The sequence below is a fragment of the Homo sapiens genome, chromosome 1, assembly GCF_000001405.40.
Source record: "Homo sapiens chromosome 1, GRCh38.p14 Primary Assembly".
In the NCBI taxonomy this organism is placed as follows: Eukaryota; Metazoa; Chordata; class Mammalia; order Primates; family Hominidae; genus Homo; species Homo sapiens.
Window position 1 is genome coordinate 13,170,833 of NC_000001.11, and position 13,863 is coordinate 13,184,695.

The following is a 13,863-nucleotide window of genomic DNA, read 5'->3' on the forward strand; positions in this document are numbered from 1 at the left end:
GCCTCAGTCTCCATCCTCAGAAGCTGGTGTCACAGACATCTGAAACCATGCCTGGCTAATTTTTGTATTTTTAGTAGAGGTGGGGTTTCACCACGCTGGCCAGGTTTGTCTCGAACACCTGACCTCAAGTGATCCACCTGCCTTGGCCTCCCAAAGTGCTGGGATTACAGCTGTGAGTCACTGGTGCTTGGCCTCTACTTTTTTTTATTTTAATTAGCCGAGCATGGTGACATGCATCTGTAGTCCCAGCTATTTGGGTGGCTGGTGTGGGAGAATCACTTGAGCCCAGAAGATTGAGGCTGCAGTGAGCCATGCTCACACCACTGCTGTACTCCAGCCTGGGCAAAAGAGAGAGACCCTGTCCAAAAAACAAAAACAATATCTTAACCAAAAAGAATCTATGACCTTAATTTTAAACCAATCACGTCCTCACTGTAATTCTTCCACCCGAATGGAGACATGGGTGTGGGGGTGCATGCCTGTAATCCCAGCTACGTGGAAGGCTGAAGCATGAGAATTGCTTGAATCTCAGAGGTGGAGGTTACAGTGAGCTGAGATGGCGCCGCTGCACTCCAGCCTGGGCGACAAAGTGAGACTCAGCTTCCCCCACACCAAAAACAATTAGATTATACCACCCAGGTGATCATTGGATACATGAGGATTTCTATTGTGTGTTCTTGGGGACTGTCAACTCTGTCTTTGAAAACTGTTTTAACTCTGAAATATTTTGATAAATTTGATGTGGCCGAGGATCCCTCAACAAAGATACTTTCAAGTTTTTTCTTTCTGTCTAATATCAGGAAGAGATTCAACCCTTCCCTATCTCACACTCAGGACTGTGAAGGACACATATTAGTAAAACCCCATGTTTGTGAAGGGAATCAGTGAATGAGTCCTGGACTTACACCCTATCCCTAAATCTTTCACTTTGATGGATGAATATCTAATTGCATCAGTAAATCTGGAAGAAAGCCAAAAATCCAATCAGGATTAACTCGGTAGAAGTGGAATCAAATGTAGTTCTCTCTCTCTCTTTTTTCTTTTTCTTTTTTTTTTTTTTTTTTTTTAAATCTAGCCTATTTCCCAGGCTGGAGTTCAGTGGTGTATTGTCAGCTCACTGCAACCTCTGCCTCCTGGGTTCAAGGGATCCTCCTGTCTCAGCCTCCCTAGTAGCCTGGACTATAGGCGCAGACCACCGCAACTGGCTAATTTTTGTAATTTTAGTAGAGGTAGGGTTTTACCATGTTGGCCAGGCTTGTCTCAAACTCCTGACCTCAGATAATCCACCTGCCTCTGCCTCCCACAGTGCTGGGATTACAGGTGTGAGCCACTTCGTCTGGCCTTGAATGAATGTATTCTTGACTTCTACCCTATCCCTAACACTGTCAATTTCTTGCTTCGTGAAGTGAATATAGATATGTGATATGAATGGACATCTGATTCAATCCATTAATCTGGGGAGAGCCAAAAACCCAATCAGGATTACCTGGGTGGAGTGGAGCTTCACAAATGCAATCAGATATCATTTTTTGATTGGAAGCTAGCAGCGGATACGTGGAGGGGCGTGGGTGGGAGTTATGATTAGAAAGGTCAATAAAAGCTTCTAAAGACCCACAGGAGAGACCCAAAGTCTTCAAGCCTGGAGTTCCTGCTTGGTTCTTCCTGAGGTCTGAGCACCTTCTAAACTACATCCAGATCTGGTAAGTCACTAATTTCTGTAAGGACACTCCCATCTGACCTACAGTCAGTCAGTCTGGGATGGTGACAGTGCAGCCTAAGATGGCAGAGAGCTATATCCTGTCCTTTTTTATATATATATATGAACAATTTGAAGCTTTGAATGTTTTCCTCTAAATGCAGTTCTGTCTTTATTTCAAAAAAGTTGATTGTGCTTTGGTTGATGCCATTTTAAAATTCTTGAAGGGAGCAGTGACTCATGCCTTTAACCCCAACACTTTGGGAGGCCAAAGTGGGAGGATCATTTCAGCCCAGGGGTTTGAGACCAACCTGGGCAACATGACAAAAACCCTCCTCTACACAACGTTTTTTTTGAGGGTGGGGATGGAGTCTCACTGTGTTGCCCAGACTGGAGTGCAGTGGCACGATCTCAACTCCCTGCAACCTTTAACTCCTGGGTTCAAGCAATTCTCATGCCTCAGTCTCCATCCTCAGAAGCTGGTGTCACAGACATCTGAAACCATGCCTGGCTAATTTTTGTATTTTTAGTAGAGGTGGGGTTTCACCACGCTGGCCAGGTTGGTCTCGAACACCTGACCTCAAGTGATCCACCTGCCTTGGCCTCCCAAAGTGCTGGGATTACAGCTGTGAGTCACCATGCATCTGTAGTCCCAGCTATTTGGGTGGCTGGTGTGGGAGAATCACTTGAGTCCAGAAGATTCAGGCTGCAGTGAGCCATGCTCACACCACTGCTGTACTCCAGCCTGGGCAAAAGAGAGACACTCTGTCCAAAAACAAAATCAATCAAAAAGGATCTTTGACCTTAATTTTAAACCAATCACATCCTCTTCCACCCAAATGGAGACATGGCTGTGGGGGGTGCCTGCCTGTAGTCCCAGCTACGTGGAAGGCTGAAGCATGCGAATTGCTTGAATCTTGGAGGCAATCTTGGAGGTAACAGTGAGCCAAGATGGTGCCACTGCACTCCAGCCTGGGCGACGAAGTGAGACTCAGCTCCCTCAGCACCAAAAAAAATTATATGACCCAGGTGATCATCGGATACATGAAGATTTCTATTGTGTTTTCTTAGGGACTGTCATCTCTGTCTTTGAAAACTGTTTTAACTCTGAAATATTTTGATAAATTTGATGTGGCCAAGGATCCCTCAACAAAGATACTTTCAAGTTTTCTTTCTTTCTGTCTAATATCAGGAAGAGATTCAACCCTTCCCTGTCTCACACTCAGGACTTTGAAGGACACATATTAGTGGAAGTCCATGTTTGTGAAGGGAATCGGTGAATGAGTCCTGGACTTTCACCCTATCCCTAAATCTTTCATTTTGATGGATTAATATCTAATTCGATCAGTTATTCTTTAAGAAAGCCAAAAATCCAATAAGGATTAACTGGGTAGAGATTAAGAAGTCTAGTCAAATGTAGCTCTCTCTGTCTCTCAGTTCAATCTAGCCTATTCCCCAGGCTGGAGTGGAGTAGTATAATGTCAGCTCACTGCAACTTCTGCCTCCTGGGTTCAAGTGATCCTCCTACCTCAGCCTCCCTAGTAGCTTGGACTACAGGCGCAGACCACTGCACCTGGCTAATTTTTGCTGTCTTAGTAGAGGCAGGGTTTTACCATGTTGGCCAGGCTCGTCTTGAACTCCTGATCTCAGATGATCCACCTGCCTCGGCCTCACAAAATGCTCAGATTACAGGTGTGAGTCACTGCACCCAGCCAAAGTGGTTCAGTTTGAATATGTGTAAGAGGTGTGCATTGGAAACATCTATCTTGAGAATGATGCATAACAGTGTCACATAGCTTTCAAAGCTTCTCACTGAAATTTTCAATAACGAGGCTGGGGCAGAGGCTCACACCTATAATCCCAGTATGTTGGGAGGCCAAGAGGGGTAGATTGCTTGAGACTAGGAGTTCAAGACCAGCTTGGACAACATAGCGAAATCCACTGTCTTTACAAAAAGTCAAAACATAAAAGATGAGCTGGGTGTGGTGATGCATAACTGTGGTCCCAGCTACTTGGGAGGCTGAGGGGGAAGAATCCTTTGAGCTGGGAGGTCAAGGCTGCACTGAGCTGAGATCCCACCACTACACTCCAGGCTGGGTGACAGAGCAAGACCCTGTCAGAAAGAGTGAGAGAGGGAGAGAGAGAAAGAGAGAGAGAATGAGAGAAGGGATGCAGGGAAAGAAGACAAGAAAGAAAGAAGGGAGAGAGAGGGGGAAAGAAAGAAAGAAGGGAGGGAGAGAGGGAAAGAAGGAAAGAAGAAAGAGAGAGAAAGAGAAAGCAAGCTTAAATAATGAAAAGAAAACAAATAGAACCTGTTCTAGGGATGTCCCATGAATGTTCCCAACAAACTTATTTGTAGGAACTGAAAATGTGGGCATGTAGGCTTGTGACACTCCCATTCCCATTGTTTTAGAACCTTGAGTAATCAGTAATTTCCCCCAATGGTAGGAGGGGTTCACTTTCAGGTTCCTCCACACTCACTAGTCACTGGATGGAGCACTGGATAGAAAGGAAGGGCTCGTGGTGACCCTGCTTCCTCACTGCTTCGGAGACGCTCATGCTGATGCAGCAGAGGCAGAATGCTGGCTTAATGGCCACTGAGTACAGAGTAGAATTGGAGTAAACTGAGGGCTGTTTCACCATTGCCAGAGCAGTGAGTTTGGCCATAGGAGAAGATGAGATTGCATGGGCTTGGCCTGAGAGTGATGCCTTTTCTCTGGGTTTGTCCTCTGGAAGTTTTCCCTGCAGATTCATGAAGATGAGCATCCGGACTCCACCCAGACTCCTGGAGCTGGCGGGGCGGAGCCTGCTGAGGGACCAAGCCTTGGCCATGTCCACCCTGGAGGAGCTGCCCACAGAACTTTTCCCCCCACTGTTCATGGAGGCCTTCAGCAGGAGACGCTGTGAGGCCCTGAAGCTGATGGTGCAGGCCTGGCCCTTCCGCCGCCTCCCTCTGAGGCCTCTGATAAAGATGCCTTGTCTGGAGGCCTTCCAAGCTGTGCTCGATGGGCTGGATGCACTGCTTACCCAAGGGGTTTGTCCCAGGTGAGGTGGCCCAGGTGGGCTGGTGGGGAGGGCCCAGGTGTCCAACTGAAGGAACAGCTGGGTCATGTGAAGTGAGGAGGCCCAAGGGGGATGGTGGTGGTGAGGAAGCCGAGAGGACTTGGCCATTCACCAGCTCCTCAGGGAAAGCACTGCTCACCACGCAAGGTCCATGGAGGTAACAGGAACCTCTCCTCTAATGGCACTGAAAGGCACCATGAAAAGTGAGAACTGGGCCGGGCACGGTGGCTCACAATGTAATCCCAGCACATTGGGAGGCTGAGGTCAAGAGTTGGAGGCCAGCCTGTCCAACATGGTAAACCCCAACTCTACTAAAAATACTAAAATTAGCTGGGCATGGTGGTGGGCTCCTGTAATCCCAGCTACTTGTGAGGTTGAGGCAGGAGAATCATTTGAACCCAGGAAGCAGAGGTTGCAGTGAGGTGACATCACACCACTGCACTCTAGCCTGGGCGACAGAGGGAGACTTGGTCTCAAAAAAAAAAACAAAAAAATGTGGAAGTGGGTAGGATCCAAGGGGAAAACAGAGTGAAGAAAAGTCAGAGAGAGGGACAAGAAGCAGGGAGGGGAGGAGCTGCTATCCAGGATGTGGAGTTTAAATTCAGAAATGAGTTCTTAAATTCTCAGTCTCACCTCTATTTTCCCACAGGAGGTGGAAACTTCAAGTGCTGGATTTACAGGATGTCTGTGAGAACTTCTGGATGGTTTGGTCTGAAGCTATGGCCCGTGGGTCCTTCCTCAATGCCAAGAGGAACAAAACACCAGTGCAGGACTGTCCAAGGATGAGAGGACAGCAGCCCTTGACTGTGTTCGTAGAACTTTGGCTCAAGAACAGGACTCTGGATGAATACCTCACCTACCTCCTTCTATGGGTCAAGCAGAGGAAAGATTTACTACACCTGTGCTGTAAGAAGCTGAAAATTTTGGGAATGCCCTTCCGCAATATCAGAAGCATCCTGAAAATGGTGAACCTAGACTGTATCCAGGAGGTGGAAGTGAATTGCAAGTGGGTACTGCCCATCCTGACACAGTTTACCCCATACCTGGGCCACATGAGGAATCTTCAGAAGCTCGTTCTCTCCCACATGGATGTCTCTCGCTACGTTTCCCCAGAGCAGAAGAAGGAGATTGTTACCCAGTTCACCACTCAGTTCCTCAAGCTGCACTGCCTCCAAAAGCTTTATATGAACTCTGTTTCTTTCCTCGAAGGCCACCTGGACCAGCTGCTCAGGTGAGGGAGGGTGGTGAGCTTTCTCTGCAGACCACAGCAGAGCCTGTTTCACTAAACGCTAGTGGGCATCTACTGTGAGCCAGCCTATGAGGATGAAACAGTGAAGGGGACACTAGAATGTCCATACATTGTCCTGTTGGCGGCCCTGTCCTGAAATGGGTATCATGCAACCATCCCAATAGAGGCAGCGGGATCAGCTAGGGGAGATGCTATAGAGAGGTTGTCATACTAGGAAGCTAGCTACTGGGGGGTTCAGATCTAGTGAGGGTGCCTTTCTGAATTCTTCCTGAGGACGTGTGTCTAAGTTAAGATGATGAAAAATAGGCCAGGGACGGTGGCTCATGCCTGTAATCCTATCACTTTGGGAGTCTGAGGCAAGAGGATAGCTTGAGCCTAGGAGTTTAAGACCAGTCTGGGTAACATCCCAAGACCCCTGTCAGAAGTGAAGAAATAAAAGTAAAAACAAACAAGATAACTTTTTTTTTTTCTGAGATGAATTTTCACTTTGATCATCCAGGGTAAAGTGCACTTGTGACATCTCAGCTCGCAGCAACTTCTGCCTCCCAGGTTCAAGCGATTCTCCTGCCTCAGCCTCTTGAGTGCCTGGGATTACAGGCATGAGTCAGCACACCTGGCTAATTTTTATATTTTAAGTAGAGACAGGGTTTCACCATGTTGGCCAGGATATTCTCCAACTCCTGACTTCAGGTGATCCGCCCACCTTGGACTCCCAAAGTGCTGGGATTATAGGCGAGAGCTACCACGCCCAGCCAACAAGATAATTTTTAAGCAGATGATGTAAAGTAGGGAAGTGAAGTGGGCACTGAAGAGGGGAATGCTCAGCAAACCTGCACATGTCAGAAAATCAGCTTTGTGCCCCATAGTTTGGTGAACATGAATGATCCCATCTCTAATTCCCTGTTGTAAAAGTGTTTTGAGCTCCAGGTAAATTAATTACCTAAGCAATGCATGATTCTGAAACAGAGGGTCAGGGAGCAGGCACAAAGAATGGTGAAAGTGATAGATGGTTTGCTGATGATACAGGCATGGCAGGGACGCCTACAGCCCGCCCACCCCAGCTGATGTTGCAGGATCCTGTCTGGGTTTGTCCTTTATGCCTGAATCTCCACTGGGCTTCTGTGGCCCAGGGATGTGGTTTTCTGCCTGACAGATGAGGAAAGGGAGCTTTAGGGATTCTGTGAACTTGATCCATTCCTATAAATGATGGTGAAATGACTCAGCCTCAAATGGAATTATTTTTTTTCCTTCTTTTTTTTTAATACAGAGTCTCTCTCTGTCACCCAGGCTGGAGTGTAGTGGCATGATCTCTGCTCACTGCAACCTACACCTCCTGGGTTCAAACGATTCTTCTGCCTCAGCTTCCCAAGTAGCTGGAATTGCAGGCTCCCCCCACCACACCTGGCTAATTTTTGGATTTTTAGTAGAGACGAGGTTTTGCCATGTTCAGCAGGCTGGTCTCAAACTCCTGATCTCAAGGAATCCACCAGTCTCAGCCTCCCAAAGTTCTGGGATTACAGGTGTGAGTTACTGGGCCGGCTCTAAGGTGGAATTGACCTCGGTGGCAAAGCTCTTCATCACACATCATCCTAAGTGTTGACCATCAGGCCATCAGAATGACCCTGGACTTGGGCAAAATGGTCTCCATCCATTACCATGAAGCCATTCCCCACCACCCTCCACTCACCCCTATGATTCCCCAGAATTAACTTCTTGCTCTCTCTCCCCAGCTGTCTGAAGACCTCGTTAAAGGTCCTCACAATAACTAACTGTGTGCTTTTGGAATCAGACTTGAAGCATCTATCCCAGTGCCCGAGTATCAGTCAACTAAAGACCCTGGACCTGAGTGGCATCAGACTGACCAATTACAGTCTTGTGCCTCTCCAAATTCTCCTAGAAAAAGTTGCAGCCACCCTTGAGTACTTGGATTTAGATGACTGTGGCATCATAGACTCCCAAGTCAACGCCATCCTGCCTGCCCTGAGCCGCTGCTTTGAGCTCAATGCCTTCAGCTTCTGTGGAAATCCCATCTCCATGGCCACCCTGGAGAACCTGCTGAGCCACACAATCATACTCAAAAACTTATGCGTGGAGGTGTATCCTGCCCCGCGGGAGAGTTATGGTGCTGATGGTACTCTCTGCTGGAGCAGATTTGCTCAAATTAGGGCTGAGCTGATGAACAGAGTGAGGGACTTAAGGCACCCCAAGAGGATCTTTTTCTGTATTGACAACTGCCCTGACTGTGGCAACAGGTCATTTTATGACCTGGAGGCAGATCAATACTGCTGTTGAATGCCTGCCTATTTGGATGGGTATGTCAAACGCTTTCTTCTGGACACTTGGAAACTAAAACCTAGGTCTTAGGTACATCCTAAAGGGAGCACAGAACCCATCATTTCACACATAGGCTCTGAAAGTGGGAAAGGAAAGCTGATCAAGCAGGGGCAGGACTTGGGGGAAATGTTGCCATGGATTCGATGGGACTTTGGGGACCTGTATCCTGTAGAGTCGAAAATGGGAATCTGAATGTCTAGAGTGGAATTCAGGCTTGAGAATACATGAGGGAGTTACTCTTGCATGGATGGTTGTAAAGAAACAATCAGAAATAAAGGAAAACTGAGCAGAATCTGTCTGGTGCCCTCTATTATTAAGTAACCTGTTTTCCAGTTTAAGCCTCAGGAATCTTCAGTTATTGATGGAAAAAACAAAAGGCACTGACTGAGTTGTCCAATCAATAAGATGCAGCCCAAGAAAATCAAGGCATTTAAATGAAATTTGGTTATTGTAATCACTTTCCTCCCATTCTTTTATTGGAGACAGAGTTTCACTCTTGTTGCCCAGGCTGGAGTTTAGAGTGCAATGGTGCCATCTGAGCTGACTGCAACCTCCACCTGGGGTTTAAATGATTCTTCTGCCTCAGCCTCCCAAGTAGCTGGGATTACAAGCATGCACCACCATGCCCAGCTAATTTGTGTATGTTTAGTAGAGACAGGGTTTCCTCACTATGTTGGTCAGGCTGGTCTCAAACTCCTGACTTTGGGTGATTCAAGCAAGTAGGCCTACCAAAGTGCTGGGGTTACAGGTGTGAGCCACTGTGTCAGGCTTTTTTTTGGTTTTTGTTTTTTAAAGGTCTCCTGTCACTCAGGCTACAGTGCAGTGGCACAATCATACCTCACTGCAACCTAAATTTCCTGGGTTCAAGTGATCCTCCCACCTCAGCCTCCTGAGTAGCTAGGACTACAGCTGTGTGAGCCACCACACCTGGATACTTCTTTTTAGTAGAGACAAGGCCTCGCTGTCTTCCCCAGGCTGATCTGGAACTCCTGAGCTTGTGATTCTCCTGTCTTGGCCTCCCAAAATGCAGGGAGTATAGGCGTGGACCACCACGCTTGGGTTGGCCTCCTCTAGTTCTTCACTTCTTTAGATGTCTGTTAACTCCTTGTTAGTTTCTGTGGCTGTTCAGTGGGTTAATACACACTAGGTGGACACCAAAGGCCTGGAACATTACTGGGCAAGAACAGTGAGCCAATCCACGTGGAAAGCACCTTCTTCTCAGGGTCTTTCACTGCTAGCCAGATGCTGAGACCCTGCCCACTCCCTGTGAGTCTCCACATGCTTCCAGAAGCCTTATTTGGTGGATGTCAGCTTCACTGCACAAGGAGCCACTCTCTTCCCACTGCCCTGGAAGGGGATGTCCATATTGTGTATTAGCTGGAGACTCTGGGCAGCATCAACCCTTGCTTGTTCTCCTGATGACCAGCAGCCCTTCTTGAATTAAACTGGTTGTAGCCAGTAAAGACAGCCACATTCCCTTTAAGTAAAATACTAAAACTATACAGGCATGTAACACTTTTTAAATATTTCCATCTGACATTTTAAAAGTTACATCTTTTTGGGGAGCTAGGTCAGATTGATGAGAGATTTTCTCATAACACCTCCCCTCTCTCCCTATGAAGGAAGAGACTAGTACTAGTGCAGCGTGTTCTGGAATCTGACAGCATCAAAGGGTGGATAACGATCAAGGGCCTGTGGGTGATGAGTGACCTTCCCTGTGCTGAGGAATTCTGCATAATGGGCACCCAAGTGAAGGATCCTGCTGAGTACTCAGGGGCTGGTGTTGCTGTCAGGGATGTTAGCCTAGAGCCTCAGCTTCCTGTAAAATGAGGATGATGATGTCCAACAGCTTATGGGACCTTGGTAGGATCCAATGAGATGGTTCATGTTTAGGGCTTGGCATGGGGTCTGGCATACAGTAAGATCAATACATCTTGTTCTTTTTTCTCTTCTCAGCAGAAGTCCCAGCACTTTTCATCTTTCAATCTCACCTCCTTTTCCTGATAATAGAGAGGCAACAAGAACTCAGGGCATGCAATGGGGCTCAACTTCTACTCTCTGCCACAATTTCATCATGATTCCCCCAAAGAGCAGAGCCCCAGGAGCCAGCAGGGGGCAAGGTGGGCATTTCTGGACTGGATTCATTCATAATAAGATCAAAATTTCCAATCCGTATGTCTCGGGTGCCATCTGCTGATAGATCCGACCAGATGGTATAATTGAGTGTTGCAAGGATTATATTTTATGGTGTTTTCAAAAATGTACTATTATGAGCCAGGTGCAGTGAGTCATACCTGTAATTCCAGCACTTTGGGAGGCTGAGGCAGGTGGATCACCTGAGGTTGGGAGTTTGAGACCAGCCTGAGCAACATGAAGAAACCCCTTCTCTACTTAAAATACAAAAAATTAGCCAGGCGTGGTGGCGCACGTCTGTAATTGCAGCTACTCGATAGGCTGAGGCGGGAGAATCATTTGAACCTGGAGGTGGAGGTTGCGGTGAGCTCAGACTGAGCCATTGCACTCCAGCCTGGGCAACCCTAGCAAAACTCCATCTCAAAAAAAAAAGATAAAATAAGATTTATTATTATGGCCGGGCATGGTGTCTCACACTTCTAATCCCAGCACTTTGGGAGGCCAAGGCAGCCTCAGGATTTTGAGACCAGCCTTGCCAACATGGTGAAACCCCATCTCTACTAAAAATACACAAAATTTGCTGGGAGTGGTGGCATTCGCCTGTAATCCCAGGTATTCAGGAGGCTGAGGCAGGACAATCACTTGAACCCGGGAGGTGAGGGTTGCAATGAGACGAGATTGCACCACTTCACTCCAGCCTGGGCGACAGAGCATGAAAAAAAATTTACTATAATGTGAATACTATTAGAGTATAAATATTTGTGTTGTAATTTATGTATATGAAAGATTAGAACTTTTAAAGAATGCAACGTGATATTTCAAGAATGGTTAATGGCCAGGTGTGGTGGTTCATGCCTGTATTCCTGGCACTTTGGGAGGCCGAGGTGGGCAGATCACGAGGTCAGGAGTTCCAGACCAGCCTGGCCAACATGATGAAACCCCGTCTCTACGAAAAATACAAAAAATTAGCCTGGCGTGGTGACAGGTGCCTGTAATCCCAGATAGTCAGGAGGCTGAGGCAAGAGAATCGCTTGAACCTGCGAGGCAAAGGTTGCAGTGAGCCAAGAATGCACCACTGCACTCCAGCCTGGGTGAAAGAGGAAGACTCCGTCTCAAGGAGGGTGAGAAAAAGAATACTTAACTTGGTTTGAAATGTCAAAACAAATGAGATTTTAAAAACTAATTTTAAAGACACTGAACAATAATCATTTCTTCTTTAAAATATATTTAGAATAATACAATTTTAGCTTTGAAAGGAAACATTACAGTTTTAAAAAATATTGAGTTTATTTTATTTTATTTTATTTTATTTTATTTGGAGACAAAGTCTCACTCTGTTGTCCAGATTGGAGTGCAGTGGCATGATCACGGCTTACTGCAGCCTTGACCTCCTAGGCTCAGGTGATCTCCCTGCCTCAGTCCCCCTAGTAGCTGGAACAACAGGCATGCACCATCATGCCTGACTTATTTTTGTATTCTTAGTGAAGACCAGGCTTCACCATGTTGCCCAGACTGGTCTTGAAATTCTGGGCTCAAGCGATCCACCTGCCTCGGCCTCCTAAATTGCTGGGAGTGAGCTCTTATAGGCATGAGCCACCGCACCCAGCCTTGAGTTTATTTATTTATTTATTTTGGAGATGGAGTCTCCTTCTGTCATCCGTGCTGGAGTGCAGAGGTACGATCTCTGTTCACTGCAACTTCTGCCTCCAGGGTCCCAGCAATGCTCCTGTCTCAGCCTCCAGAGTAGCTGGGATTACAGGCATGCAACACCACACCTGATTAATTTTTGTATTATTATTATTATTATTTTTTTTAGTAGAGACAGGGTTTTGTCATTTTAGCTAGGCTGGTCTGGAACCCCTGACCTCAGGTGATCCACCTGCCTCGGCTTCCCAAAATGCTATGACTATAGACGTGAGCCACCACACCCAGCCTATTTTTTCCTTTACAGCAGTTTTAGATTCACAGAAAAACTAAGCAGAAACTGCAGAGTTCTCATCTACCTTCTTCCCCCTTCAATACACAGCACCCCCACAGGATCAGCACCCACACCAGCACAGAGCATTCATCACAACCAATGAGCCACAGGGACACATCATTATCACCCAATGTCCATAGTTCACATGAGGGATCATTGCTGGTTTTGTACATTCTATGGATTTTAACAAAGGGATAATGACATGTATCCACCATTAGAGCATCATGGAGAGTAGTTTTCTTTCCCTAAAATTCCTCTGTCCTCTTCCCATTCATCCCATTGTGCTCCCAACCCCTTGCATCCACTGGGCTTTCTACTGTCTCCTTAGAAAAATGCAAAAGCTTTTTCTGGAATGTCTAACAGGATGAGTCTTTTCAGATTGCCTTCTTTCACTTGTACAATAACGTGCATTTAGGAATTTTTCATGTCTTTTTACAGCTTTATAATAGTTCACTGACTGGATAGATCAGTTTGCTTATCCAGTCACTGACCGAAGGGCAACTTGCTAGCTTCCAAGTTTTGGCGATTATGAGTAAGTTGCTGTAAACATCCAGGTGTGGGTTTACTCACTTCATTAAATATCCAGGAGCATGATTATGGAATTGTAGGGGTATGGTATGTTTTACAATTATTTCTTCTTTCTTGACAATCTCACTTGTTCGATATTGCTGCTAAAGGTCAGGAACTTTGTCTCCATCATCCTGTGTTCCCACTGCTGAGCATGGAACGTGGCACTTGGTAGCAAATGCTGTTGACCACGTGATGCATGGAAACGTTTATCATGGATATAGTCACTAAATTGCTACCTTGGGGACATCAACATTAGCTCACTACCAATAATATAAATAAATTGGATTATGGAAAAAAATGGCCCTTGTGATACTGTGGATACTCCAGGTGTATCATGAACGTCCAGCAATTGACCAGGCACAGTGGCTCACATCTGTAATCCCAGCACTTGCAGAGACTGAGGTGGGTGGATCACTTCAGTCAGGAGTTCAAGACGACTCTGGCCAATATGATGAAACCCTGTCTCTATTAAAGACACAAAAATTAACTAGGGGGTTGAGCCAAGATGGCCGAATAGGAACAGCTCCAGTCTACAGCTCCCAGCCTGAGCGGTGCAGAAGACGGGTGATTTCTGCACTTCCAACTGAGGTACCAGGTTCTTCTCACTGGGGAGTGTCAGAAAGTGGGTGTAGGACAGTGGGTGCAGTGCACCGAGCATGAGCCAAAGCAGCATGAGGCATTGCCTCTCCTGGGAAGTGCAAGGAGTCAGGGAATTCCCTTTCCTAGTCAAAGAAAGGGGTGACAGATGGCACCTGTAAAATCCGGTCACTCCCACCCTAATACTGCGCTTTTCCAACAGTCTTAGCAAATGGCACACCAGGAGATTATATCCCGTGTCTG

General features: G+C 46.6%; 1 protein-coding gene across 1 annotated transcript; it reads left to right on the plus strand.

Annotated features, from left to right (window-relative positions):
- The first annotated feature begins 1,015 nt into the window (after positions 1–1,015).
- PRAMEF9 (PRAME family member 9) lies at positions 1,016–8,627 on the plus strand. The gene is made up of 4 exons (NM_001010890.3): positions 1,016–1,700; positions 4,433–4,741; positions 5,409–5,990; positions 7,739–8,627. The coding sequence occupies exons 2-4, from the start codon at positions 4,449–4,451 to the stop codon at positions 8,298–8,300; spliced, it is 1,437 nt and encodes a 478-aa protein (NP_001010890.2). The 5' UTR covers positions 1,016–1,700; positions 4,433–4,448; the 3' UTR covers positions 8,301–8,627.
- Positions 8,628–13,863: the final 5,236 nt, after the last annotated feature.

Excerpts from the sequence above, each read along its gene's own strand:
- PRAMEF9 (NM_001010890.3), top strand. The coding sequence starts at position 4,449 with ATGAAGATGAGCATCCGGACTCCACCCAGACTCCTGGAGCTGGCGGGG. Across the intron at positions 4,742-5,408 it reads ACCCAAGGGGTTTGTCCCAG|GAGGTGGAAACTTCAAGTGC; the intron begins GTGAGGTGGCCC and ends ATTTTCCCACAG. Across the intron at positions 5,991-7,738 it reads CACCTGGACCAGCTGCTCAG|CTGTCTGAAGACCTCGTTAA; the intron begins GTGAGGGAGGGT and ends CTCTCTCCCCAG.